Below are 26,347 nucleotides of genomic sequence, written 5' to 3' on the forward strand. Positions count from 1 at the left end.
TTCCAAAAAAATAGAGATTTGTATTTTTAAGAAAAATTAAATAAAAGCCCAGCTCTGCTGATAGGCAAATGTTACCCCCGTCCCCACCCCCACCCACCCGTTGTTTCCCTGGCCTGCACCCCCATCCCACCATGGCCCCAGGGGTATTTACAACATGGAACAATAGAGGCCTGGGTTGGGGGGCACTGCGGCAGGGAGGAGGGGGCACAGGGCAGGTCCCCCCCCAGAGGGGTCCCCCAAGACAACACGACATCAACAAGAAAAGTTGCAAATCAGGCAGAAATGGGGACGTCATTCCAAGGTCCTTATATACAGACACTGCATGACCAGCAGGGAATGGGGGCCCAGATGGGACTAGGCGTGGGCATGTGGCAGGCAGGTGGGCCAGTCCAGGAGCAGCACGGGAAAACAAGGCCTCCGCTCCACTCCCACCCCCGTCCCTACCCCACCTTTGGTAACAAAAGCCCTTCAGGGAGCCACTGGTGGTCAAGAGTTTCCTCTGGGAGCTCCCAGGGAAAGGGGCTCCCCAGTTCAGCCCTGCTTCAGGGCTAAAATTGGGCATGCTATCCCCGCCCTGGTCGGCCATGAGGGAAACAATGAGTTAGAAGTACGCTGCCCACCCTTGACTCCACCATCTGCCCAAATCGAGGGGGTGCTCCCTGGAAGTCAAGGGAAGGAGCCCAGTCATTGCAGAGGAGCCCTCTTGGGCATCAGATGGGGGAAGCCCCATAAAGGGGAAGGGGCCCCTGGGGGCTGGGAGATGGAAATGAGGGGAGAGGACCTGGACCCTGCATGGGAGAAGGGCCAGCGTGGTCATGAGGTCAGTGATACCCCCACTTGGGGCCCTGGCCAGGAAGTCCACGCTGAAGGGGTGGAGAGTGAGGCCCTGGAATGGGCCATTTGGGAGCTGGCCGGCGGCTGGGGGAGGGGGGCCGGCCGGCCAGTAGGGGGCTCACAGGTAGATCTCGCGCTTGGCCGTCTGGGCAGATGCCGGTGTGGCTGCGGGTGGGAAGTCCGAGGTCTGGGTCAGGGGGATTTCCTCCAAGGTGGCCGAGTCCTTGCAGGAATCATGGCTACTGTGGGAGAAGGCACTGTAGGAGGGCAGGAGGCGCACGGGGGCCGTTTTGGTGTTCCGGTCTTCCGGGGGGCTGGGGCTGCCGGCGCCCGCAGGCTCCTGCCCTCCTCGGTCCTGGTAAGGCACGAAGGTGGAGAGTTTGAGGGCGCTGCTCTTGGTCCGGCGGCTGGGAGATGACTGGCCAGGCATCCAGCATGTGTCAGAGTGGCCAAACTCACTGCACTCCCGGGTACATGTGCCTGTCATGGCGACATCAGGCAAAGGGCGAAGGTCTGTAGGAGGGAGCGGGGAAGGACAATTGTCAGACATACAGCCTCTGCAAAGCTCTGCTTCATGGCCTCCCACTGGCATCTACACCCCACCTCAGGACAGGAGTATGCGCCCCTTCCTGACCGCTGAACTCACAGGCACACACACCCTCAAAGAGACACATGCCCTCCCACCATCGACCTACTGGCCTACTGTACACACGCACACGCACACACACATAATCTATCTTTTTTCTTTTTCTTTTTCTTTGTTTTGAGATGGAGTCTTGCTCTTGTCACCCAGGCTGGAGTGCAATGGCGCAATCTCGGCTTACTGCAACCTCCACCTCCCGGGTTCAAGCAATTCTTTTGCCTCAGCCTCCCGAGTAGCTGGGATTACAGGCGCCCACCACCATATCTGGTTAATTTTTGGATTTTTAGTAGAGATGGGGTTTCACCAGGTTGACCAGGCTGGTCTTGAACTCCTGACCTCAGGTGATCCACCCACCTTGACCTCCCAAAGTGTTGGGATTACAAGCATGAGCCACCGCACCCAGCCTTATCCTTTTTTTTTTCAAGACAGGGTCTCACTCCTGTCACCCAGGCTGGAGTGCAGTGGTGTGATCTTGGCTCACTGCAGCCTCAATTTCCCAGGCTCAGGCAATCCTCCCACCTCAGACTCCCAAATATCTGTGACTATAGGCATGCACTACCATGCCTGGCTAATTTTTTATATTTTTTTGTAGAGATGGGGTTTAAGCCATGTTGCCCAGGCTGGTCTTGAACTCCTGAGTTCAAGCAATCCGCCTGCCTCAGCCTCCCAGAGTGTTGGAATTACAGGCATGAGCCACCAAGCCCTAAATAGACACATTCCTTCCAGCGTCACCTACCCCCCAGTGCTCTTCTTACACACCCACCAAATCTGCCCTCAGACAGGTGCACAAACACACACTCATCTACACACTGCCTCATCTATCTCCAGACAGACTTAAATGTGCAAATCTATCCTCAGGTGGGGTTGAGGAAACCTCCATCCTCATTGAATTGATTGACACAATCAACTCTCTCTCTCTCTCCCTCTCACACACACAGATAGGCATGGATACACAAATCTACTACAGTGGGCACCTCTATCCTCAGATGAAATTGGGTACATTGCTTCCTTCAGAACCCCCTCAAGCTTCACATGCTCCCGGTGGTCCTGAACCCACCCTCCTCCTGCAAGACCTTGCTTTAAAGCCAGGGGGAAGGGACGAGCTTCTGTGTGGGGTATTCACATAGAGGCACACACTCACATCCACAAGCACGCTCATGCAGCCCCTCCCCACCTCACTCTGGCCCCTAAACCAGCCACCACCCCTGGCCTTGCCCCAGCTCCCTGCCCAGAACACCCACGGGAACAGGAGTTGGCTGCCTGACATCAGCAGTAGCCGGTGTAGTTGCTGGGCAGCGGGGGTCTCCATGGGAACGGCTGGGCCATGAGTACTTCCTGTCACAGCTGTCCCTGTCCTGCCCTTGCTCAGGGACAGCACCAGGCAGTGACCCCCCCCCACCCCCAAGGGACATGGCTAAGCAACACTGCCTGGGACAGGGGCTCCCCTGGCACCACCCACTATGGCTTGGCCTCCTGCCAGTGCCAGGTGAGGAGGGGACAGCTCTGTTGTTAACCCTCAAAGTGCCAAGGCTCTACAGCTCAGAGCAGAGTTGGGGGACGCAACATGGCTCAGAGCAGAGCATGGGCACTGGGTGGGTGAGGCTGGGTGCTGGGCAGAGTCCCACAGACCCCAGACCCCAGAGCAGTTCCCACATACCTGGCACTCTGCCTCAGGGCCTGCTCCGGCCAGCCGGCTCTGCGCGGGCACAAAAAGGATGAGACGGGCATGAGATCGCGCATGGAGGGGCGGGGTGGGGGTGGAGGGCACTCTGAGACCTAGGGCCTGGGAGGTTAGACAAGGGCCCGGGAGGTTAGACAAGGGCCCTGTGCCTGAGGCAGGGGAGTGAAACCTCCCATCTTTTGTGGAGCGAGGAGGCTTTGAGTTGAGGGAGTGGGTGGGACCCGAGGACAACTCCAACTTAGAGAGTCTTTCCATCTCAGGGGTTAGCTCGTTCACTCTCCCCCTCCACAGGCTGCCATGGACGACTTCACACATGCACACGCACTGCACACACACTGACGGCACACCTCACCATCCATTCCCATGCCGACCTCTGCGCTGGCTCACACCTCCTTTTTGCCATCACCCTCCAAATCCCTCCCAGACAGGCCTTTCTCTTCACCAGACCTCCTACCGCGCTCTTCCTCAAAGAGGTGCCAAACCTTCTCCCACTCCTCACCCCAGCATATCGTCACTCCATTCTCTGAGCCCCCTGTAGCATCCAGGGCCCAATCTCTATTCTCAAGGCCTTCCCAACCTTAGAGGACCACCACCCACCTTCTCAAGGTTTCCTCACCATTACGTGAGCTTTCTGGCCACCACACTCAGGGTCCCTGTTCCCAGGTGGCCGTGTAAACATGGTGCCGAATGCAACAGCTTTGGAGTCAGAGAAACCTGGGTTTGAATCCCTCCCAGGTCTGTCACGTTCTAGATGTATGACTTTGGGCAAGTGACTTAACCTCTCTAAGCCTCAGTTTCCTCCACTGTAAAGTGGGTGCCATAAAGTTCTCAAATCACAGAGTGGTTCTGGGGATTAAATGCGTGTATACCTGAAAGCCCTCAGCACGGTGATGATGACTGAGCACATAATAACTCAATACATAGATGATTTGTTTAAGGCCTTGTCACCATTCCCAGGCTTCCACTCATTCCTGGGGTGCCCTGACCATGGTGCTGCGCCTCACCATTCTCGGGGTGCTCCATCTCTCCTATGCTGCCATCAGGGGTGGTGCGCTCATAGTGATCCTCAGGCAGGGCCAGGGGACCGAGTCGAGGCCCTGAGGATGACTTGCTGGACGGCGTCTCAGACTCCTCCAGGCCACTGTCATAGTAACTGTGCTGGGATGGGTCCTGCAGCTCCTGGGCCTGGCTGGTGGCCGAGAAGGTGACGCGGCGGTGAGGTAACTGCAGGGAGACAGATTGTCACTACTGACCAGCCAGCTTGCCCACAGGGCCCACCACCATACCAGGCCCTAGTACAAGCCAAGCACCATCCTACTCAGGCTTCAACAGCAACCAAGAAGAGACCCAGGCCCCAGCACAGCACATTCCTCCCGAAAGCACAGGCCCCAGTGAAAGACAGCTCCTGAGTTCTAGGACCGCTCCTAGTACAGCCAAGTCCACATACTGGAAGTCCCAATACAGCGCAGGCCCCAGTGTTATTATAGCCCCTATGCTACCCCAATAACCCTCATCCAGTGCAACCGCTTGTTATAGCACAACCCTTCTAGTTCTAACCCAGCTTCCCAATATTGGCACAGCCTCCCTTTAATCCCAGAATGACCTGTAATACGGTGTAGAGCCCAATACCAGAGTAACATAATACCACCCGACTCCCCTAATTCCAGCTCAGCCTCTAAACACCAGCATAGCCTGCAGTTTCTAGAACAGCTTCCTAAAAGAAGCAGACTCCTAACTCCCAAACAGCTCACCAATACCACAACAGTTAGTTCCCTCATTTCCAAACAGCACCCTCCAAACTCCAGCTCCTCACCTGTCTCACTGCTCTTGCCACTGCCTCCTTCCAAATGAGGGAACAACCTTTCTTTTCTTATCCTGTGTTCCTCATCCCTGGTTTGTGATGTTGCAGCAGTCTGAAGACTCCCTGCTGTCGCCCCTCCCACTCAGCCCCCCATCCCCACTTCACTCCCCTCCAGAGAGGCCTGGGAGTGGAAAAAAAGGGAGGAGCCTGATAACAAACCAGGGCACCTGGGGGAAGGGGACAAAGCAGAACAATGGAAACTCCCCAGTCCTCCCGATCAGGAAATAGAATATTCACTGGAGAGGGTAGGGCTCTGCCAGGAGCCTGGACATGGGGAGAGGGCATGGCACCCATTAGGGATTAGGAAAGCTGGTCTCAAAGGGAGACTCCTTCCAGGAAATAGGAAGGAGCTTCTGGGAGGGCTGCTGGCATGAGGAGCCAGACTTGGAGGCTTGGACTGGGGACTGGGGGTCGGGGGAGTGGAACCGTGACAGGCTGCTCCCAGCCAGCAGCCCTGTATGCCTGCCACAGGTTAACGATCAGCCCTGGAACCTGGCAATCTCAACTTGGCACTTGGCACAACCAGCCAGCCACCCAAATACCCACTTGGGACTGCCACAGATTTTCCTGCCAACCAGAAATTAGGAGTTGTGGAGGGTGCAGACTCAGGGTCCCTGGAGGCCAGGGGTGAAAACAGCTAAGCCCAGGGCCCTGCTGATGAGTCTCTAAGCTCCTTCCCATCCTCCAAGACTTTGGCAGTGCTTTGTCTTACTCTATAACTCTGGATAGGAGGTTATGAAGATGGCCAGGGGAGGTGGCCCTGGCTTTGTAGACTTACCCTCCTAATAGCCCCATTCAAGGCAGCTAGGGTGGAAGAGGCTGTCAGGACAGGAGTTTTGGAGCTGCTGTGAAGGTAGCCCAGAACTGCCTCCCCACTATCCCCATTCCTGAAGATGGCTCCCACCTCATCTTCAGGAATAAGCGACCGTTCTTGGAATCCTTGTATTGATCTAAAACACTGAAGGGTCTGGGTGATGACTGATAAGGTCCCCAAAACTAACATGGATGTTTGGGGCCGGGAGGCTATAAAGGAGTGTAGTCCACCTGGTGTAGGGGTGATTAGGGTCCAGGAGGGGTCTGGGAGGCACAGGGCAACATGGTTGTTGGTGCTTCTCTTTCCAGTTTTCTTTCAAGATACTGGCCAGCAGTCCCACCTCCCTGCAGAACCCATATCTGGTAATTGAAGGCTTTGGTCCTGCCTACTAAGCAAGTCGCTTGGTCTCTTTTCCCATGATTCTTTTCCATAAAATGGAGGGTTGGGTTATACCCAACACTTAATGTTCCCTCTAATTTTATGACTATCAAATTATAAAAGCCCAGATCAAAAAATCTCTCTCAAACTCTTTGAGTCCTGAAGCTCTAGACACTTGCTGATTATTTCCAGTTGGCTCTGCCTACTGGCCCTTAAGATTCAACATGTCTGAAACCAAATGCTTCTTCAATTAGCTTCTGTATGGGCAATGATCTCATCACTATCCTATCACCCAGACTCAGAAGGCTGATGTCTACCTGAGAATCCTGGTAGCTCTCCCCTCATTCCCTATCCCTACCTCATATCCAATTATCCCTTGAATCCTGTGGGTCCTTTCTCCCTAACCTTTGCCAAATCCATCCATCCATCACCCCCATTGCCACCATCATAGTCCAACTCTTAGAGGTTCAGTCCTGTACCTTCATCTCTATGCCCTTTTAAGCCCACCATATATTCCAGTGCTCTTTCTAAAACTCAGTTCATCTAAAACACTCATGAGCTTTCAGGGACTAGTTCCTTCTGAAGAACTTTTGGTAAGGCACCTATGTCCTCTACAACCTACAGTTCTTCCAGTCTCATCTTTCAGCTTTCTCTTATGCCCCTCTTCTTGCCAGAATATTCCTTTTTCTGCCCTTTCCCTGCCTCCAACTTGGTTCACTTCTGCCGCAGGAGTTTGCTTACACGGTGACCCTGTGAGGAGGCAGGGGACCCTCCTGCCCTAATCCTGCTCATCATTGACAAGCTGACTTTCTCCTTCCAGAAGCCCATTTCCATGTCTTGTACAAGTTTTCCCATACTGTGCTCGTCAAAGGAAGGGAGGGGCAATATGGTGAAATAAATTCAGAAAACTCAAGAGGTAAACAAAATTGGGGCCAGGCACGGCAGCTCACACCTGTCATCCAAGCACTTTGGGAGGCTGAGGTGGGCAGATCGCTTGAGCCCAGGAGTTGAGACCAGCCTGGGCAACATGGCAAAACCCTGTCTCTACAGAAATTACAAAAATTAGCCAGGTGTGGTGGTGCACGACTGTAGTCCCAGCTACACAGGAGGATCGCTTGAGCCCAGGTGGCAGAGGTTGCAATGAGCCAAGATTGCGCCCCTGCACTCCAGCCTGGGTGACAGAGCAAGACCCTGTCTCAAAAAAAAAAAAAAAAAAGGTTAAACGAAGTCTAACAGGTTCCCCCTTTTTTGGAGGACTCTGCAGAGCCTTTAATAGGCTAATGTGATCATGAATTTCTTACTACCAAAACTAACTTCACCACAGAACGCCTTTTTTATAGCATAATAGGTAATAGGAGACCCGCCTGCTTTGTGTTTGAATTTGGCTGCATCACTATTTAGTTTTCACTTCTGCAAAATTAATATTAAAATGACCCATATCATAAAGAGTTATGAGCACTGATTGAACTAATTCACACAAAGTGCTTAGCATGGTACCTCACACCTAGTAAGGACTCAAAAAATGGAAGTGAGTGCCGGGCATGGTGGCTCATGCCTGTAATCCCAGCACTTTGGGAGGCCACGGCGGGCAGATCGCCTGAGGTCAGGAGCTCAAGACCAGCCTGACCAACATGGAGAAACCCTGTCTCTACTAAAAATACAAAATTAGCTGGGTGTGGTGGCACATGCCTGTAATCCCAGCTACTCAGGAGGCTGAGGCAGGAGAATTGCTTGAACCTGGGAGGCAGAGGTTGCAGTGAGCTGAGATCGTGCCATTGCACTCCAGCCTGGGCAACAAGAGCAAAACTCCATCTCAAAAAAAAAAAAAAAAAAAAAAAAGGAAGTGAGCAGTAGCAGTAGAAGTAGTTTCATGGAATAAGTTGGGAAAAGCTTTAGTAGGGCACTTCTCATTCGACTCAAGACACTCAATTGCCTCATCGTTCACTTGTCTGTCTTGTACAAGTATGGCCATTTTTTCATCAGGGTCTAGTACCATGCTGAGTACTCAGTGGAAACTTGGCCTGTGTGTGTTGATGATGACAACAGGTGGTGTGGTTTGGTTGTATCTGAATGTTGGGAGAAGACATTCAGTGTGGCTCCATGGATGGGTTAGGTTGGATTAGAGCTGAGTAAGAGACAATCCCTCAGATCATGGGAAAGAAAAAGAGATGAAGACGCTAAAGGAATAGGAGAAAGACGGAAGGAATGCCAGAAAGGACAGAAAAGGAAGAGAAAGAATGGGAGGTCAGGAGTTGCTGGAGATCACGATATGGTTAGATCTCACTTCCCCAGGCCCCACTCCTCCAAGGACCCAAGGAGTTTTTACTTTGGGGGCCCCCCAGGGCATTGGGGGAATTTGTGGATGGAATCAGAGGAGAGAGCTGGAGCCTTGGTCCTCTTGGGAGTGTCTCAAGCCTCTTTAGTCACCATGGAGATAGGTTGCCTCTGGCCTCAGAGACTCCCCCAGGGCCTGAGGCCCCTCAGCCACGATTTAGCCTTCCTCCAACTCAGGCACAACCAGAGACAGGGCAGACCCAGGAGAGCAAGAAGTGAGAGATGGAGAGAGAGAGAGTGCAAGCAAGCAACCCAGGGTGGCCAGAGCAAGGAGTGGAAAGTGGGGAGGGAGGTAGCATCACAGGCGGAAGGCAGAACTAGGAAGCCTCTGCTCATGAGCAGGGAACCCCCTAAGAGTGGGGGTGCAGGGCAGGTCAATGCAAAGAACTTAGGAATTCGCCATGTCTCCCCCAGGGCCCCGCTCCCTGCAGCTCAGGCTGGTGATCATGGTGGGGAGACACAGGGGAGGGCCAGCGAATTGCTGGGTGTTGCCTGTTGTTGGGATGAAGAGGCTGGGGAAGGGACTTGAGGGAAGGACTTGCCCTGGGGGAAGGTGGCTGGTGTAATCAAGAGGTTCTCTGCCTTCACCTAAGGCAGGAAGGAAGGCTGAATGCTACTCCCTACCAGGTGCTCCAGTCTGAGGTCTGTCAGAGGCAACTGTTTGAGCAGATTGGAAAAATCAAGCCTCAGATGGGGCAGGACTTGGGTATAGCTCCACCTGCCCTTTCTGGGTCATTCTTAGGAAGAAAGCCCTATAGACATGGGGCAAGGGGACACATTGCCAGACACCTCCATTTGAAGGCTGGTCAGAAGGCCACTTTCCCAGACGTGGATAGGGACATGGGGGTGGATGGCAAGATGGTAGGCTAAGATAGTGTGGGGTACAATGGGCAGGTCTAGGATGTGGCAAGAGGCAAAGAGAAGGGAAGGGGAAATTGAGGTAGGACCTGAGGACAAAGGGCTGCTTCCAGTCTCTCTCGCTGCTTCTCTCAGTTCCAGAAAATAAGAAACCAAAACTCCAAAAATAGAGAACTTTATTGTCAGGGTCAAGGGCATGTGGGACCCAGCCCCAGAAGCCTAGTGGTGAGGAAGAGGTTAATGCACAATACACACAGAAGGCACAATGGGAAGGTGCCCTCCCCTGGCAGACTCCCCACTCAGTTATCCACAGGACCCCAGGTCTCCCTGTTTCCCTCCTAGAGAAGCACCTAGGTCTGGTCTGACATAGAGACCTAGGTTTGGAGTAGACTTCTTACCCATTTCCCTCCCCACTTACGCTCACCTGCCTACCACCCCCAACCCATAAGGCCCAGTAGCTGGTCCAGGGTCCAGGGACTTGGCAAATCACAGGTCTCTCCCCAGTGGGGAGAGGGCAGGGAGGAGACCACAGAGCACACCCTCCCTTAATCTTCACTCAGCCTAATCCGTGTGCCCGGTGAGGCACTAAGGCCCCACCTCCCACTGCTGGCTCAGGCTGGCCCCCAACACGGGCAGGCACAGTAAACCTGCTCCATCACTCCCACACCTCGGTCCAGATGGCTCCGTGGTAGGGGTGGGGTAGGGGCTGGGGTGTGCTGAGCTGAAAGGGCTGGCCTACCTGCTTGCTGGGGTATTTGGGGGGGTTGGTGCGGTAGCTGTAGTCGGAGTACTGCTCAGAGCCCGTGGACGTGGTGTCCCCGGTGCCCACGAATGTGTTTGCAGGTGGCAGGTCCTGTACCACCTGGTGCTTCTTGGAGGCTGAGGGTGACTGGGGCTGCAGCTGGATGGAAGGCAGTGGGGAGTTAGAGCGATAGTGGCGGCCCAGGTCAGGGCTGCCTGGTGGGTAGTTGAGGGGCAGGTGGATGCGGGGACTGTCCCCAGGGGCATCGCTCATCAGGTTGAACTTGAGGGACTTCTGCAGCCCGGCCTCATCCTCGTCCTCCACTGGCTTCACGGGCTTTGGGGACTTGCTCTTCTTGCCTTTGCTTTTGTTTCCCTTGGAGGCCTTGCCACTGGGCTTGGGGGCATACAGGTCCTTGGTCTCCTTCTTACCAGCCTGGTAACCACTTTTGGCCTCCCGCTGTCTGCAGTAGCGCACAAGAACCGCCAGGGCGATGAGCAAGGCCACGGCCACCACACCAGCCACCACACCAAAGAGAATGTTGCCACGCTGCTTGGAGCGCTCATATTCTGGATCCCCAGCAATGTCAATATCCAGCGGCGTGTCCAGGCTGTGGCCCAGGAGGGTCTCCAGCAGCGTGCGGTTGGCCAGAGTCTCATTGACATAAAGATGGACCAAGGCTGTGCCATAGCGTGGGGGCTTGCCGCGGTCACTGACCTTCACCACCAGGCGGTGTAGCCCATGGTGGCGCCGCTCAATCTCCTTCTCCAGGGTGATGGCACCTGAATGTGACCCAATCTGGAAGAGTCCATAAGGGTTGCCACCTGCAATGCTGTAGATCAGCTCAGCATTGACACCAGAGTCAAAGTCCTCGGCTGCCACCTGGCTGACCGTCTCACCAAGACGTGTCTGGGGGGTCAGCAGCTTGTGAGAGGTGTTAGAAGGGGCAGTGATATAGGGTGCGTTGTCATTCTCGTCCAGCACATTGATGGTGACACCAACGTAAGCTGAGCGAGGTGGGACGCCACCATCCACTGCCTTCAGCTGGAAGGTGTAGGTGCTTTGTTGCTCTCGATCAAAGCTCAGGCTGGATAGGATGGTGCCTGTGCCATTCTGGATAACAAAGTCACCGTTGTCCTGCTCCACTGAGAGCTGCACCTGGGCATTCTCCCCCTTGTCTCCATCAATGACAGTCACCATGCCCACTGGACTCAGTGCTGGCATGTTCTCCATCACTGAGAAGTTGTAGCCACTCAGCATAAATTTGGGGTCATTGTCATTGCAGTCCAGCACATTGACAAGGACAGTGGCTGTGCCCTGGAGGCTAGGACTGCCCCGGTCAGCTGCCACCACCTTCAACTCATAGCTCTCCCGCTGTTCCCGATCCAGAGATGTCTTCACCTGGATCTCTCCAGTCTCGGGTGAGATGGTGAAGAGGCCCTTAGCAGCCGGCTCAGGCTCCAGAGAGTAAACCAGCTCAGCATTAGAGCCAGAGTCAGCATCACTGGCAGTGATCTCAGCAATCACTTCACCAGGCTTGTTGTTTTCCGGGAAGGCGACCTCAGTGACACTCTGAGTGAAGACAGGTGCGTTGTCATTGACGTCCACCACCTGCACCTTGAGGGAGTTAGTGCTGGAGAGTGGGGGGTTGCCAGAGTCCACAGCCACAATCTCAATGGTGTAGTCTTTGACCTTCTCGTAGTCTAGCGGGGTGGTAGTCTGCAGGAAATACTTCTTCTTGCTGTCACTGCCTGTCTCACTGGCCTGGCGCAGCTGGAAGGGCACATCACCTGCCACCACACAGGTGACAGCTGCATTCTCTCCCTCATCTCGGTCAGACACCTGCACCAGGGCCACAGCTGTCTCCTCTGCCACATCCTCTGAGATGTTAGCCATCCCATCTTGATGAGTCACTAGCCCTATGCCCCGGATCTCAATGGTGGGGGCATTGTCATTCATGTCCTTCACGGTCACAACCACCTGGGCACGGGCACTCTTGGGGTTGGTGCCTCGGTCCTTAGCAAGCACTGAGAAGCGCAGGGTGCTTAGGTCCTCACGGTCCACCGGGCCCTGAACAGTGATAAGTCCAGTGTTCCTGTCCAGTCGAAGAAGACGCCTCACAACTTCGGGCGCCTGGTGGAATGTGTATTCGATTTCTGCATTGGCACCTTGGTCTGAGTCATTGGCCTTCACCTATAGGGCAGGAGAGAAAAACAAGGAGAACAGAGATGGTTTAGATCAGGGATAGCAAATAAAGGGGCACACATGCTGCCAATGTCCTTTCCAACAAGCATGGCAGACACAGCCAATCCAACATCGCTCCCTTTCCAGAAGCCATGTGTGTCCTGCCTTTTCCCAATTCGGACATTCTGGCAGGCATTACTAACCTATTTTCCTGAAGAGCCCAGATGCAGCCTGCAAATCCTCAACAGTGCTACAGGCAACTATTGGAGATGGGACAGGGCAGAATTAAACCTCACTTGTCATTGCTGTATGGGTCCACAAAAATACCAGGAGAGGATGAGGATCCAATAGAACTAGGGAAGCCATTTCACCAATGAACCCTGCCTGAACCCTCCTGAAGAGATGGAGAGGTGCGAGTAGTAGAGGCGGTGTGTGTGCCCGTGTGAATGTGCACTACATGCACGCACGCATGCACATATGTATGTGTATGATTGTGTCAGAATGTGTGATTAAATGTGATATGTTTGTGTGAGAAGGTATATGTGTTTGTATGTGTATGATTGTGTCAGAATGTGTGATTATGTGTGATTTTTGTGTGAGAAGGTATATGTGTTTGTGCATATGTGTGTTTGCACACATGAGTAAAGACTCACATGCCCATCTGAAGGCCCCAGGTTGGGGGATTTCTTTTGAAAGAAGTCAGGTAGGGTTGTGGGTCAGAGAAGCCCTCCAGGCCGGGCCCCAGCCACCGCTCTGTCAAACCGGGGAAACCTGTTTCAGCAGCAACTTCTCCTCCCGACTGGCACCGGCTGGCGAGGCACCAATGCGAGGAATCCGGCCTGAGCCTGCAGCCAGGAGGGAGGGGTTGATGCAGGCCACAGAGCCTGCTGGCAGTGGGCTGGGCTCCCAGCATCAAACAATGAACTGTCTGTCCCTCTGCAGTCAGCGGGCACACCCTCCCACGCCAACTCCAACGCGCACTCGACTCAACTCTATACAAACATGGTTGGTAATGGGGAAGAGGACCCAGGTGGGAATGGCCATGGGGTACTACTGGGCAGGGAGAAACATGAGGGCTGGAGTTAGGTCACAGCCAGACAGAATGTGACTGCTGTGGGGAGTGAGGGGAGAATAAGCATAACTTGGCAGAGTCTCTGGGGTAACAAAACAGAAGAGTCCTGGGTTCAAATCCCAGTTATACCACTTCCCAAGTAACTATGTGACCTTGGGCCAATTATTTAACCTCCCTAAGCCTCAGTCTATGAATGTGTGAAATGGGGATAATAATGTAACCTATTTCACAGAACTGTGGTGAGCATCAAATGGGATAATACAGGTAAAAATGCCTGACATTGCCCGGCACAGGGAAAGTGCTCCCTAAAGAGCATGTATTTCTTTTTGTCTGTCCAACCATCTACCCTCCTACCCGCCTGCCTCTGAAAAATCAGTGCTAATGCAGTAGTGGGCACTGCACCTAGTGAGCCCTCAAGCCACTGCCAGTCCTCTCCTCCTTGGGAATGGGAACTCCAGCTATCCCCGCCTGGGCTTTTCCTACAGTGAAGACTCCTGGGCAATGGTTCCCCAGGTACCCTGGTCTCTGCTCACATCTCTGAGTGCCAAACCCTAACAGTTTCTCCTCCCCTCACCCCAGTCTACCTGTCATCAACTTTATGATGAGGATCCCCAGTCTCCCTTGGCTCTAGATTGGTCTTCCAGCTTATCTGTCTCTTGTCTTACCTCTCTTTGTCTCTGTGACTCTTGGCTTCTGTCTCCTTTCTATCCTTGCTCAGTTCTGATTCTTCCCCTTTCCCACAGCCTGTTTTCTTCCATCCTCTCTTTTCAGCCCTGCTGACCTCTCTGCTTACTCTCTGCCCTACTCTCCCGCTTCACCTCACTGGGAGGTGGTAAAGCTCTTACACACCTAGGCTCTGAAGCCAGACTCTTGGCTGCGGCAAAGGTGGACTCTGAACTCATTAGCTGTAGGATATCAGGCGAGTTTTCTAATCTGTTTGGGCCCGGTTTCTCATCTGCAAAATGGGGATAATACTTACCTTGTACTGTAAGGATTAAATGATATAATACACATCATGTGTTTAGAACGGTGCCTGGCACCTAGGCTATTATTATTTGCTATCCCCGACTGTCTGTCTCCCTTTTCTTTCTCAGTCTCTTTTCCAGGTCCCAGTCCACCAGGCTCTAAAAAAAAAAAAAAAGGCTGAAACTCCCACCCATCTCCCACTTTGGCTTGAGGACCCAGGACTAAGGGTTTTCCAGGATGGGTAATGGTGTCCAGGGCAGGCCGAGCCTCCTCAGCTCCCTCACATCAAAGAGAGAGGCATCTTCAGCCCATGGGGAAGGGGAAAGGAGCTGGGGCTGGCAGGAGGCCAGAGCTGAGATGACAGCGGGAGATACACCCACCTGTCTGCAGAGACGCTTTCTTTGCTCCCTCCCAGTCCCCAGCCCCACCAAGCTGCCTAGCGCCTGGGGCAGTTCCCATGGAGAGGGGTGCTGAGAACTTCAACAGAGGAAATTGACCCCCCACTGAACCCCACTGTACCAAGCACCCCACATCTATGGGCACCCCATGCCTAGGGGAGGAGGCATGTATACAGACACCCTAGTATGTTTTTTCAGAACTCTGAGGGTCCCACCTGGCTAAAATGATCTCATCTGACTTTGTCAGGAAGAGGCAAAATGAGGCTATATCCTCCAGCTTCAGGAAAACCTCATCTGGCTAAAGAGAAACTATCCCTGGTTGGGAAGATACTCTCATCTCAGGAGAGATTCTACCTGGATAAACGGTGATTCCTTTGTTCCAACTCAGCTCACCTGGCTAGCAGAGAAGGATCTACTTGACTAGGGCGGGAGTTTTACTTCTCAGAGGTTCCCCCAGCTTGAGTCTGCCTTAGGGGTCACGGGAAACTGTTCATATGCTATTTCACTGTCACCTAAGTAGCCTGATAGAGGAAAGTAATATCACCTGCTGGGGTGGGGTGGGAAAGACTCCCCTGGCTGAGTTTGGGGAGAAGGGGTCTCACTACAGTATTCTGGCAGTTTTTCCCCTAAGTGAAGGGAACTCTCACCTGGTTGGGTGGGCTCCCATTTCTAGTGGTGGGTCACCCTGACAGTTATACGGAGGGGGCCTCTCACCTGGATGACCGAGTGGCCTATGGGGCTATTCTCAGATAGTTCGGCCTCATAGGAGGGCCGCTCAAACTTGGGGGCGTTGTCATTGGTGTCAAGCACGGTGACACGCAGCAGGGCACTGCTGGCGCGTGGGGGGCTGCCGCCATCCTGCACCTTGATGGTGAGGTCATAGGAGTCCCAGCGCTCACGGTCCAGGTTGCCCATCACAATGAGCTGTGGTTGCTTCTCCTCCTGGTCCTCTGCCACCTGCAGCCCAAATAGCTCCTGGGCCTCAGGCCCAGCCTGCAGCTCATAGGATGCCACACCGTTGGGACCAGCATCACGGTCTGAAGCCAGCGGGATGGGGAAGAGTGAGCCGATGTTGGTGTTCTCAGGGATGGCCAGAGTGATGACTGGTGAGGCGAAGTTGGGTGTGTTGTCATTGATGTCTTGTACTTCTATCTGGCCCTCTAGCAGCCGGGGGCTGCCATTCTGCACGAGGTCTGTGATAGATACCTCAAACTCCAGGATGCAGGGATCACCAGGGAGCTGGTTCTGGCATTCACGGAGCCCCTCACGGTCGATGGAGGTCTCGGTGGTGAAAATGTCACCTGTCTTGCCATCCACGCGAAGGTACGGGGCACCCACCTCTAGCTTGTACAGGTGCCCCACATCTGGAAAACCATAGTCGGCTGCGAGGCTCCCAATGAGGGTGTTGGGTGGCTGTTCCTCCGGCACCTTGTACACTACCCGAGTGGCGTGGCCTGGGGATGGAGCCAGCAGGAGCAGCAGTGCTAGCAGCATGGAGGGCAGCAGTAGCCGTTGCCCCCCAGGGCCTGGGCTGTGCCTCAGGTGCTCCATCCTGGGAGGCCCCAGAATCAGGAGGGCTGCAAGGGGAAGAGGCAAAACAGAGGCCATGAGCTGGGAAGAAAAGCCTGGCCCTGAGCTGCCCAGAGCTGGCCCCATACTCACCCTCTCCCACTGACACACGATTCTCCACAAGAGCAGTCAGTCCCAGCACAGAACCCCGATTCCAGAAACTCAGATCCCTGAATCTCATCCACAGCTGGGTGTAGCAGCAGTGTCTGCCCCAGCTGGAGGAGCCAGTAAGAGGCCTGGCATGCCTAGAGCAGCTCCCGCCCATGGAACACCCTCACCCACCTGACGCTCCCTGGGCCCAAGCCCGGCTGCCCGCCCTCTTTCCTTCTTTTCCTCCTTGCTCTCTGCTCTGTGCTTCACCCAACACCTCCTTCTCACGAGCATCCTGCCTTAGTCACCGATGGTAATTACCTTGATACTGAGATAGGGAGAGAGAGCCAGTGGAAGGGTGAGACCTCGAGCATCCCCAACTGGAGCACCCCTCCCCACATGCATGGTAGGAAAGAGACACAAGTACGTCCTTACACACCCCAGACCCTGGGACCTTGACTTGTCACACTGGGCTCCATTAAGGTTGGCTGGAGGGAGAGGGGATGATGTCTCATTTCTCTTTGTTCTGAGATGCCAAGTCAGTGCATATGCATGAGGTATGACATCTCAAATCCTCTTTTTCTGACAATCACCCACGGTGCCCAGTATTCTCCACCCCCATAAAAGGCCAGCTTGAATTGGGCAAGGCTTGTGAAAATGGTTAGGGTTGAGGAGTAGGTGTTAGCCTTCCCGACTTTCCCCCAACACATATGCCCCAGAACGTGCACACAGGCCACAGAGCGTGCACACATGCCCCAGAGCATGCACACATGCCCCAGAGCATGCACACAGGAACATGCACAGTTGCTAGGGCTCCTCTCCTCTCCCTCCTGCTGCCATGGGCAGGTGCGTACAAGGGAACACAGGTCAAGATTGGGGTCAGAACTGTGGTCAGGGCTGACTAGCCCTGGAATTGGCATTGGGAGCTGCCCTGGCCTGTCCTTAGCAACAGGGAGCCCAGCAGGTCTAACTGGGACAGAGCTGCCGATGATAATGACACCAGCAGCCTTTCCCTGGCCACTCCCCCACCCCACACCCTCTGGTCTCTGGATGAACATCTGGCTCTTATTTGACATCCATCTCCGTATATCCAGCCCCTACTTCACACTTGCCTCTCCCAACCTCTGCCCTAGTCAACCACAAGCTGTACCCCATCACAACAATAACCCCCTTCTTCTGCCCATCTCCCCTGGCTTTGAGGTCGTGCATTTGCAGATCCCAGCTAGACCCAGCTACTGTCTCTGTCTTGAATGCCCCCTCCTCTCCAACAAAATCATGGCCAGTCCCTCCTTTATTCAAATCCAAAATCTTTGGATCAGCAGTTTCTTTGGAGGCTTCTGGTTCAGTCTCCTTTCCCCACTTCCTCACTTTTACCTGGAATACCTTCCCCACACCTGGAACACCCACCCCACATCAATCCCACTGAGGGCAGGCTCTGGCCCTCCAGGAAACCTTCACAGTCCTCTCCTGCCCACGGTGACCTCTCCTTCCTCCAACTCACAGCCACTTATTGTCTGCTCCAATCCCAAGGCAATGAATCATGGGGCTGACTGGGACACCGCCCGCCTGTGTTGTTCAGCTTCAGTATTGTGCACCTATTCCTGAGTTCTCTGCCTTTCCAGGCAAACACAAAGCACTACGAAGGAAGGGACAGTACTCTGTACACTCACTCATCCCCTGCCCCCTAACAATGCACCTTTGCACATCTGGGTACACTGTAGGGACTCAGTCATGCATTCAACAAATGTTTATTGGGCATTTACAATATGCCAGGCTCTGTCCTGGGCACTGGGATGCAGAAGTAAACAAGACTGGTCCAATCTGCCATGACAGTGCTTCTAACTCAATGACTATTTGTCCATTTTGTTTGGTTGCTTCTGTATACCATTTGGCGAATGTAAGGCAGCAGGGTGGAGAAGAGCGAGGGTTGTGGCATTAGACAGTCTGAGGCAAACCCAGCTGCTCACTTCCTGGCTGCATGACCTGAAGCAAAGATTTAGTGCCTCAGTTTCCTTACCTGTAAAATGGGGATAATACTACCTATTTCCTAGGGTGTTTGAGATACTGTGGGCTAAATGTGGGTACTCAACAAAGGACTCCTTCAAAGCATTTAGCACAATTGTAGTTGTGTACCTGTTTGGAAAATGTGTTAATTGTCTGTCTTTGCTCCAAGATGGTGAGCAGAAAGCAGGAGAGTTTCTACTTTGTTTGCTCCTACCTCCTCAGGGCTTAGCCCTGGACCTGGCACACAGTGGGCACTTGGCAGCTCTTGAATGACTGTTGTTATTTTGCTCTCTAGGCTTAGCCTTTCCTGGTACTTGCTGTGTGACCACTGCTCTTTTACTTGCTCACTTACCCGATTCCCCTACACCACTAAGAACTTCCTGGGGTAAAATGTAAGTCTTCTCTGTTTAGGGCACATAGTAGACTCTCAGCAAATGTTCACTGAATGCACAGAGTCTTTAGATAAATCAAACACATCCCCTCCTCTGTATGGCCTTCCCCAAGCACAGGCCCCTCCCTAAAGTGTGTGCGGCGTTATCAGATTGGTGTGAATGTTAATCTCTTTAAAGGAAGCAGGAATTTATCTGTACTCCATTTGGATCCACCCCCCACCCCCCCCCTCCACCTGCATGGACCTGGCACAAGGCTCATCTGACTACTTCAACCCCAACCCAAACACATCGTCAAAGGACCATCACCAGAGAACCTCATTTTCTTATGGGACTGTATCCTGCTGCCACCCTCCTCTGCATATACAATGTGGTATCACTGTGCACCCTAATTCTCTACAAAAGTCTTGGCAGGTGAGGCGTTATGTGGGAAGCCCACGGGAATTACCCTAAACCTGACCAAGAGAATAAATAAGGCAGTCACTGTTTGCCTCTGTTCTCTCCAGATCGAGGATACTTAAGATAGTTAATCTTCTGTGGTCACATCCTCCTTCAAGAATTTTATAAAACCATGGTACAGATTTTTCCAGGAAAAATGACTGTTCACAAATTTTAGCCGCTAATTCAGGGGGCCATGATCTGGCAGTCAGGGCGAATGATGTGTGGCCACTCCAAGAGCTACGAATTAAGCCCCTGCCTCAGGCTTCCTCCATCTCACAGTCACAACCTGAGGCCCTATAACCTTTCAAACCTCCTAGGCAGAACAGGCACACATGCTTGTGAGACTACCTCCGCTCCCCACACGCTCTTTCTCACCCTGAGGAGTTGTCTTACCTTCAACCAGCAAAAGAACCAATTAAGGACTGTGGTATCTAACCTCTGAATTGGAAAGAGAAGGAGAACCACAGGATAATATCCAGCTCAAGGAAGGTATGGGATGGCGGGGCTGGGGAAAGGTCCCAGAAAGTAGGAGGAATGTGGGGAAAACAGGGTTGGGGGAGAGTTGCTCACAGTGGGGAAAGGAGTTGAAGAGGGCTTAGGCCTTTCAAGCATCTGGAGAGTTTCTTCAAAATGAGGATTATCTGGCCCCACCCTTAGGAATCTTTATTCAGGAGGTGGGACCTAGAGAAACCCCCAAGCAATTGTGATGCAATGGTCGGACCATCTGGGTACAACTTTGAGATAATTCCAGGGAGTTAAGAAAGAGCCTGAGGTCCTGCAAACTCTTTTTTTTTTTTGAGACAGAGTCTCACTCCGTTGCCAGGCTGGAGTGCAGTGGTGCGATCTGGCCTCACTGCAACCTCCACCTTTCGGGTTCAAGCAATTCCCCTGCCTCAGCCTCCCAAGTAGCTGGGACTACAGGCACGTGCCACCACGCCCGGCTAAATTTTTTTTTTTTTTTTTTTGTATTTTAGTAGAGACGGGGTTTCACCGTGTTGGCCACAATGGTCTCGATCTCCTGACCTCATGATCTGCCCGCCTCGGCCTCCCAAAGTGCTAGGATTACAGGCGTGAGCCACCGCGCCTGGCCCGGTCCTGCAAACGTTTTTTTTTTCTTGAGACGGAGTCTTGCTCTGTTGCCCAGGCTGGAGTGCAGGGGCGCGATCCCGGCTCACTGCAAGCTCCGCCTGCCAGGTTCACGCCATTCTCCTGCCTCAGCCTCCCGAGTAGCTGGGACTACAGGCGCCCGCCACCATGCCCAGCTAATTTTTTTTTTTTTTTTTTGTATTTTTAGTAGAGACGGGGTTTCACCGTGTTAGCCAGGATGGTCTTGATCTCCTGACCTCGTGATCCTCCTGCGTCAGCCTCCCAAAGTGCTGGGATTACAGGCGTGAGCCACTGCGCCCAGCCCCTGCAAACTTTTATCATCACCTTTGCCATCATAATCACTCATCATCATCATCATCTCAGCAAACACTAAGATTTTATCAGTACTAAGCATTTTACACACATGATCTCTTTCCTCCCAACCCTCTCAAATGGGTAGTATTTATTATTACACTCCTTCCCATACTACAGATGATCAAATGGGGGCTGAGAAAGAATAAACTGTCTTAAGTCACAGAAGTAGTATGTGGAAGAACCAGGACTTGAGAAACAAGAATGCCTCTTCACATCCCAGAGTCTGGGGGAAAGAAACAGAAATATCTGAGGCTAGAATCTGATTCCTGTTATGTCACACCCGCCTCCCCACCATTCCTGGACTGCCAACCTTGCCCCGTAAGGAGGGAATAAGAAACAGTGGGCCTAAGGGTCAAGGAATGAACCAGCCCAGGCTTCCTAGGCTGCTGCTGTTCACCCAGGGGCCCGTAGAAATGCAGGAAGAGAGCCAGGGTGGCCTGGAAGGGCAGGAGCAGCAATAAGGAGGCCTTCCCTCACCCGTGTTCCCACCATCTCTGAACTTTGTCCCCAGCAGTTGGGCACTGGGAGTCATTAATCCCACACAGCAGCCTTTGATACATGCAGCGCCTTATCTGCCCTTCCCCGGGCCCTGGCTGCCTTCCTGGGCAACGGTGCCCTACCTCCCCCCAGTGACATGGGCACCCAGGACCCTGAGAAGCCAGAGCCTGAGGGGGAACAGGCGCAGGGACCCATGTCCCTCAGATAGAGGAGCAGAAGTGCCGTCAGGGGTGTAGGAGTAAGGGATAAGGAGGGGACGGAGTCCCAGAAAAGCTGAAGGAAATACTGTCTGTGTCAACATCTGGGAAGGGATGAGAACAGAGGTGAGAGTTCACCCGGAAACTTCACTTCCAGCCCACCCCGGGGACCAAGGTCCATTTTGCTGAGTGCTGTGGCCAGAGAAAAAACACACAGAGGCAGCCACCACTGTCCCAGTAGCCAGGTCAGCTCTGACTCCCCACCCTCACCCCAGCACTGTTACACAACGGTCACTGCCGCGGGCACAAAACACCAAGGGACAAACGGACTGTCGCGGGGAGAGGGGAAGAAAATGGGGTTGCGTGGGGTGGAGCTGAACAGAAGCCTCCCACAGAGAGCAAGTGTGCAGACCTCAGCTCCTCTCCCCTCTCTCCCACAACCCTCTATTAGCCTCTGCAGGGCTTCTGGGCACCTGCATGTCAGATCGTTGGGGTTAGAACCCTCGCTCCACCACTTCCTAGCTGTGTGACATTAACCAAGTGAATTTACTTTTCTGAACCTGTTTCCATACTGTGAAATGGAAATAATGAAACCTGCCTCTTGAAATTATTTGGGAGAATTAAATGAGATCTCATGCCTATAAGGTCTATTACATTAAGGTCTATTTACATTACATGTAAAGGACAAATCATTTTTTTTTCTAAGTCTTCTAATTGCTGAATAGACCATTTTATTTCCAGCATCGGGCACACAGTGGGTGCTCCTTGGTTCGATGAATAAACAAGCCAATCCCCTCGCTGGTTGGTAAGTCCTATGAAGGCAATGATGGTATGTCTCTTACTACTGCATCCTCACCACCCACCATGGACCCTGGCAGATAAAAGGTGCTCAATACATTGTTGAACAGAATCTCTGCACCAACTATCCTTGCTCACGGCAGGGGCAGCCCTCACCTTCTTCTTTCCCTACACCCCTCCCCGAACCCTGATTCCCACTTAGCTCCTCCCCCACCCTCGCGGCCCCCTCCTGGCCCTTCAACCCCCTTCTCAGCAATTAGCTTACTATCGCTTGCCCAGCTCCCCTGCAGAAGTAGCCACAGCAGCAGCCCCTCTGCTAAGAAGATGGCAGACCAGCAAGACACCCACTTCCAGCTGAAGTCCCTTTTGGAATTGGGAATTGGAGGTGGGTAGGAGAAGGGGTAAAAACTAAATGCGGCCAGAACTGAATCCAGACTTGCCTCCCTATCACACTGCCTCTGGCTACCTCTGGGGGCCAGTCTGCCTCTCCCCTCGATTCCACCCCATGCCCTAGTCTAGTTGTAATTACAGGTTCCAATTCCCCCAGACCTTAACGTCAATAAAGTAACACCCACCTACTCCCGCGCCCCCCACCCCCTACAAACACAGCTAGACCTCCGGCTTGTCATAAAAACTTTCTGGGCGGCCCCTTCCCTGGCAGCTCCCGAGGGTTGACCCAGAGCAGGTGCTAGAAGCCTCGCGGCGTCTTCCTGCACGAAGCGACCCAAGCAGCCCCAGTCCGCACCGCCTTGGTCAGCGGGCGCTCCCAGCACACACCCAGCGCGCGGAGCGACTCCTCCCAGAGGACGCCGAGTGTGTGTGTGTGTTGCGGAGATTAGGGGGTGGCGGGGGGGACGGCGGCAGTTTCTTGGGCTCTGGCGGCCCCACCCCCACCCCGGCAGCGCCCAGCCTCCAGGAACCCAAGGCAAGGCTAGGGCGCGGCGTGGTGAGAACGCGCTTCGGCTAGTGGGGGGAGCCCTTGCGCCCCCCGCACCCAGGCCACCGCGGGGAATCCCTCCTCCCCGGCATCTCCGGCCTCGGCCTAGGGTCCCCCGCAAGCCGGAGCCGGCGCGAGCGGCGCAGCGGGCGCCAGGAGGGGGCGGGGAGGGAGCCGGCGCCGGAATCACAAAGCCGCGAACCCGGCTAGGCGGGGACATTCTCATAAAACCGACCCTCTCGTGGCGAGCAGAGGGGGTTTTTTGCCCTACGCTCAATCCTCCAAGGCCTCAGTGCCGCCCCCAGTCTTTCCTGGCAGAAGAAATAGTAGCCGACCACTGTTGGGGAAACTGAGGCCAGAATTCTGACTTACAGAGGGTAGCTGGGGGGAAGGGGTGCGAGACCACCTCGCCTACAAATTCTGCTCCTATGCCTGCCGCGATCTCCGTTCTGGCTCCAGGGCCTGCCCGCGCACACACTGGCCTACAGCGGGGACCAGGCGGAGGGGGCGCTCAGGTGTGAGACGAACCCAGGTGTGCGGGACCCACCAAGGTGTGTGGGACCCAGGTGTGCTGGAGACCCAGGTGGCTCAGAAAACTCAGCTAAATGGCTGGAAGAGGGTCGCAATCACCGTCCCAGGCTAGCACCCTCTACAAAGGAACCTGGGGCCCCAGAGCTCCGGGGAGGCGGGATGGCTTGGCCAGCCAGGTCCAGCTTGTTCCCGGAACACCAGCCGGTTCGGCCCGGGAGTGGGGGTTGGGGAGGCGCCGACTGGGAAGCCGGCAGGCCGGCCCAGCCTTCCCGCTGTGCCGATATTTACAATAATAATGTCGCGATTAACGTGGCGGGGCGCTTGGGGCTCGCCGAACGACCCCGGCGGCTTCTCCTGCCTGAATCTGGACTCCGAGAGAGAGGAACGGAGTGTGTGTGTTTGTGTGTATGCGCTGCAGGGTGTAATGTAATGTGACACTGTTGGTTTAAGGTGTGTGTGACACCCAGTGTTAAGATGGGTGAAGCAGTGGATTCTGTGTTTGTGACCGTGAGGCGCTGCTGTAGGTGCCAATTCCTGTGTTAGAGTGTGTGCCATCAAGCGTGTGCTGAGATACTGGGTTGTGTGTTTGTGTGGGTGCAGTAGAGGGGTGCAAGGAGACCTGTGCTGTGTACCTATGTTCTGGCCAAGAAGTGGGTAAGATGATATATGCTAGGGTGTGTTCCTTAAAGGAATGTGGGGGGTGGCTAGGTTTTGAGGGTTCATCTAGTGAACTGTGGCTGTGACACTCGTACATGAGGGCACGAGATTGTGTTTGTGTGTCCACGTCGCGGGGTGTCACACCCGGTTGTGTTATTGCTCTGTAAAGCCACGGGTTGTGTGTCGGTGCTGCTGATCGTGCAGACACTGAAGCGGATTCTGAGCTGGCGACGGTGCCCCAGTGGGCGCTGGTGTGCGGGAGGTATGTCTGTGTGCACATATGCAGGGATGTATGTATGTGTGTATATATGTCCACGGTCTGGCCCTCTGGGTGCCCGCGAGAAGCTGGAAGCGGCTGAGTGAGCCGAGGTAGTTGCCCAACAAGTGTGTATGTATGTGTTGTGGACAACGGTCCTTGCTTGCTCCGTCCTCCGGGAGACCCCCACCAAACTGGGGGCCGCGCGCTTCCCCAAACCCATCCTCCACGCCGCGCGCTCCTGGAGTCTCCTTATCCCCGTCTCTCCGAGCGCGCCCAGGTTTGGGACGCGGGGACTAGGGTTCTGCTCAGCACCCCCTCCCCTCCCTCGGCTTCTCGCCGCGGACCTGGGAGGACGGAATCCCTCAGCCGCATCCCCTGCTATGGGCTCCCAGCAGCCCCCACCTCAGCCCCCTCGCGCCGAGCTCGTGTTGGGCCCCCGCGGCCTCGCTCCGCCGAGCGCCCCTCCCTCAGCTCCCGCCGGCCATGACCGCTTCGGGCCCCAAGCCGCTGCTGCCTCCACCGCCGCCGGATCCTTACCCGCCTCCGGGCAGCGCCGGCCGCCCGCCCCGCTGTCCATGAGCCGCCGCCGGCCCCGGCCTGGGCTGCGGCTCCGCACGGCTGGGGCTGGAGCTGCAGTTCGGGCTCCGGCTCCGGCTCCGGCTGGCTCTGGGCGCAGCAGCCCGGCGGCTTTGCGTCCGCGCCGCGCTCCCGCTCCCCGAGTGTGTGAGGCGGCGGCGGCGGCGGCGGCGGCGGCGGCGGCGGCGGCGGAGCCAGCAGAGAGCGGAGCGCACAGCCCGGCCCGCCCCCTCCCTCCCCCCTCCCTCCCGGCCCGCCCGCCTCCCCGCCCCCCCTCCGGCCGGGAGGTGGAGCTCGGGACCGCTCCGGTCCGGCTGGGAGGGGACCCCGAGCACCGCTCCCCAAAGCCTGGACCCCTCCCTCTGCCATCTCTTCACTGCCCGAGGCCCAGTACACAGGCCGTGCCCTCCTCTGAGCTTCACCTTACACTTATCCCACCCAAGCCTCCATCTAGGACCGCTCCTGGATTCCCCTCCTTACCCTACTCAAACACCTGTCCCCAGCTCTGTCTGCCCCCTGGGAAGTCGAGGCAAGGGAAGTGTCTCCCACAGCGCCTTCTTCCCTGGGCACCTGCTCCTCCATATCCACCCTCTTCCCGCCCAGATCCCCGATCGCCCTGTGTGGCCCTCCCTTCCCGCTGCGCTCGGGGAAAGTCCACCCCTCCCCCTCCGGCCGAAGCCGCAGAGCGGTCAGCCTCGGTGGCCGCAGCAAGCCGTGGGGGTGGGGCTATGGAGGGGACCGTGGGAGGAGGAGGCTAATGGGACCCGGGGGCTCTAGAGTGAGGATGGGGAAGATACACAAGCGTGAAGACGAAGTGCTGCTCCTGAGCTTAGGCTATTCGAGGGTCCCCTGATCACCTGCCCTCTGCACGGCGTAGTGCTGCGGCCACACGTATTTGCCAGTGACTTACATTATACAGTCACCGGGTCCCTGCCCCGCGAGGCCGCGCAGTGTCACGGCCTGTGTCACACGCCCTCGCAGTGCCACACGCTCCCTATCACACTCACACCAAATCACACACGGTGTCACACGCAGTGTCTCACACACTCCAATACTCGGTTTCTCCCATTCAGCTCTGGCTCTCTGGCGCCATCTAGAGGTCTCTGAGTAGCTTGGGAACTCCCTCTCCTGCGCTTGCGGTTTGGTAACCCAGGCTACCAAGTGTCCCAGTTCAA

At 54.9% G+C, this 26,347-nt stretch overlaps 1 protein-coding gene across 7 annotated transcripts, besides 5 other annotated features; it reads right to left on the reverse strand.

Moving 5' to 3' along the window:
* PCDH1 (protocadherin 1) lies at positions 1–25,321 on the reverse strand. Of its 7 annotated transcripts, XM_005268454.6 has the most exons (6): positions 16,428–16,538; positions 15,480–16,342; positions 10,143–12,338; positions 4,163–4,382; positions 3,135–3,173; positions 1–1,347 (listed from the first exon to the last, which is right to left on the reverse strand). In XM_005268454.6, the coding sequence occupies exons 1-5, from the start codon at positions 16,513–16,515 to the stop codon at positions 3,148–3,150; spliced, it is 3,393 nt and encodes a 1,130-aa protein (XP_005268511.2). In that variant the 5' UTR covers positions 16,516–16,538; the 3' UTR covers positions 1–1,347; positions 3,135–3,147. The 7 variants fall into 7 exon arrangements, with proteins under 7 accessions (XP_005268511.2, NP_115796.2, XP_005268509.2 ...); NM_032420.5 differs by lacking the exons at positions 3,135–3,173; positions 16,428–16,538 and adding an exon at positions 25,134–25,321; XM_005268452.4 differs by lacking the exon at positions 3,135–3,173.
* Positions 10,633–11,133: an enhancer, noted in NCBI's record as "H3K4me1 hESC enhancer chr5:141243287-141243787 (GRCh37/hg19 assembly coordinates)". NCBI's record gives its function as "activates a minimal SCP1, AML or CMV promoter by ChIP-STARR-seq in naive H9 embryonic stem cells {active_cell/tissue: H9 hESC(naive)}" and the evidence as "EXISTENCE:reporter gene assay evidence [ECO:0000049][PMID:30033119]".
* Positions 11,585–11,764: a silencer, noted in NCBI's record as "fragment chr5:141244239-141244418 (GRCh37/hg19 assembly coordinates)". NCBI's record gives its function as "represses an EF-1alpha promoter that drives an FKBP-Casp9 reporter gene in an ReSE screen in K562 erythroleukemia cells {active_cell/tissue: K562}" and the evidence as "EXISTENCE:reporter gene assay evidence [ECO:0000049][PMID:32094911]".
* Positions 19,794–20,516: an enhancer, noted in NCBI's record as "OCT4-NANOG-H3K27ac-H3K4me1 hESC enhancer chr5:141252448-141253170 (GRCh37/hg19 assembly coordinates)". NCBI's record gives its function as "activates a minimal SCP1, AML or CMV promoter by ChIP-STARR-seq in naive H9 embryonic stem cells {active_cell/tissue: H9 hESC(naive)}" and the evidence as "EXISTENCE:reporter gene assay evidence [ECO:0000049][PMID:30033119]".
* Positions 23,619–24,303: an enhancer, noted in NCBI's record as "H3K27ac hESC enhancer chr5:141256273-141256957 (GRCh37/hg19 assembly coordinates)". NCBI's record gives its function as "activates a minimal SCP1, AML or CMV promoter by ChIP-STARR-seq in primed H9 embryonic stem cells {active_cell/tissue: H9 hESC(primed)}" and the evidence as "EXISTENCE:reporter gene assay evidence [ECO:0000049][PMID:30033119]".
* Positions 24,570–25,319: an enhancer, noted in NCBI's record as "H3K27ac hESC enhancer chr5:141257224-141257973 (GRCh37/hg19 assembly coordinates)". NCBI's record gives its function as "activates a minimal SCP1, AML or CMV promoter by ChIP-STARR-seq in primed H9 embryonic stem cells {active_cell/tissue: H9 hESC(primed)}" and the evidence as "EXISTENCE:reporter gene assay evidence [ECO:0000049][PMID:30033119]".

This window comes from Homo sapiens, chromosome 5 (genome assembly GCF_000001405.40).
Source record: "Homo sapiens chromosome 5, GRCh38.p14 Primary Assembly".
NCBI lineage: Eukaryota > Metazoa > Chordata > Mammalia > Primates > Hominidae > Homo > Homo sapiens.

Excerpts from the sequence above, each read along its gene's own strand:
- PCDH1 (XM_005268452.4), bottom strand. The coding sequence starts at position 16,515 with ATGAGATTCAGGGATCTGAGTTTCTGGAATCGGGGTTCTGTGCTGGGA. Across the intron at positions 16,343-16,427 it reads TCGTGTGTCAGTGGGAGAGG|CCCTCCTGATTCTGGGGCCT; the intron begins GTGAGTATGGGG and ends TTCCCCTTGCAG. Across the intron at positions 1,348-4,162 it reads GATGGAGCACCCCGAGAATG|ACCTTCGCCCTTTGCCTGAT; the intron begins GTGAGGCGCAGC and ends TCCCTCCTACAG.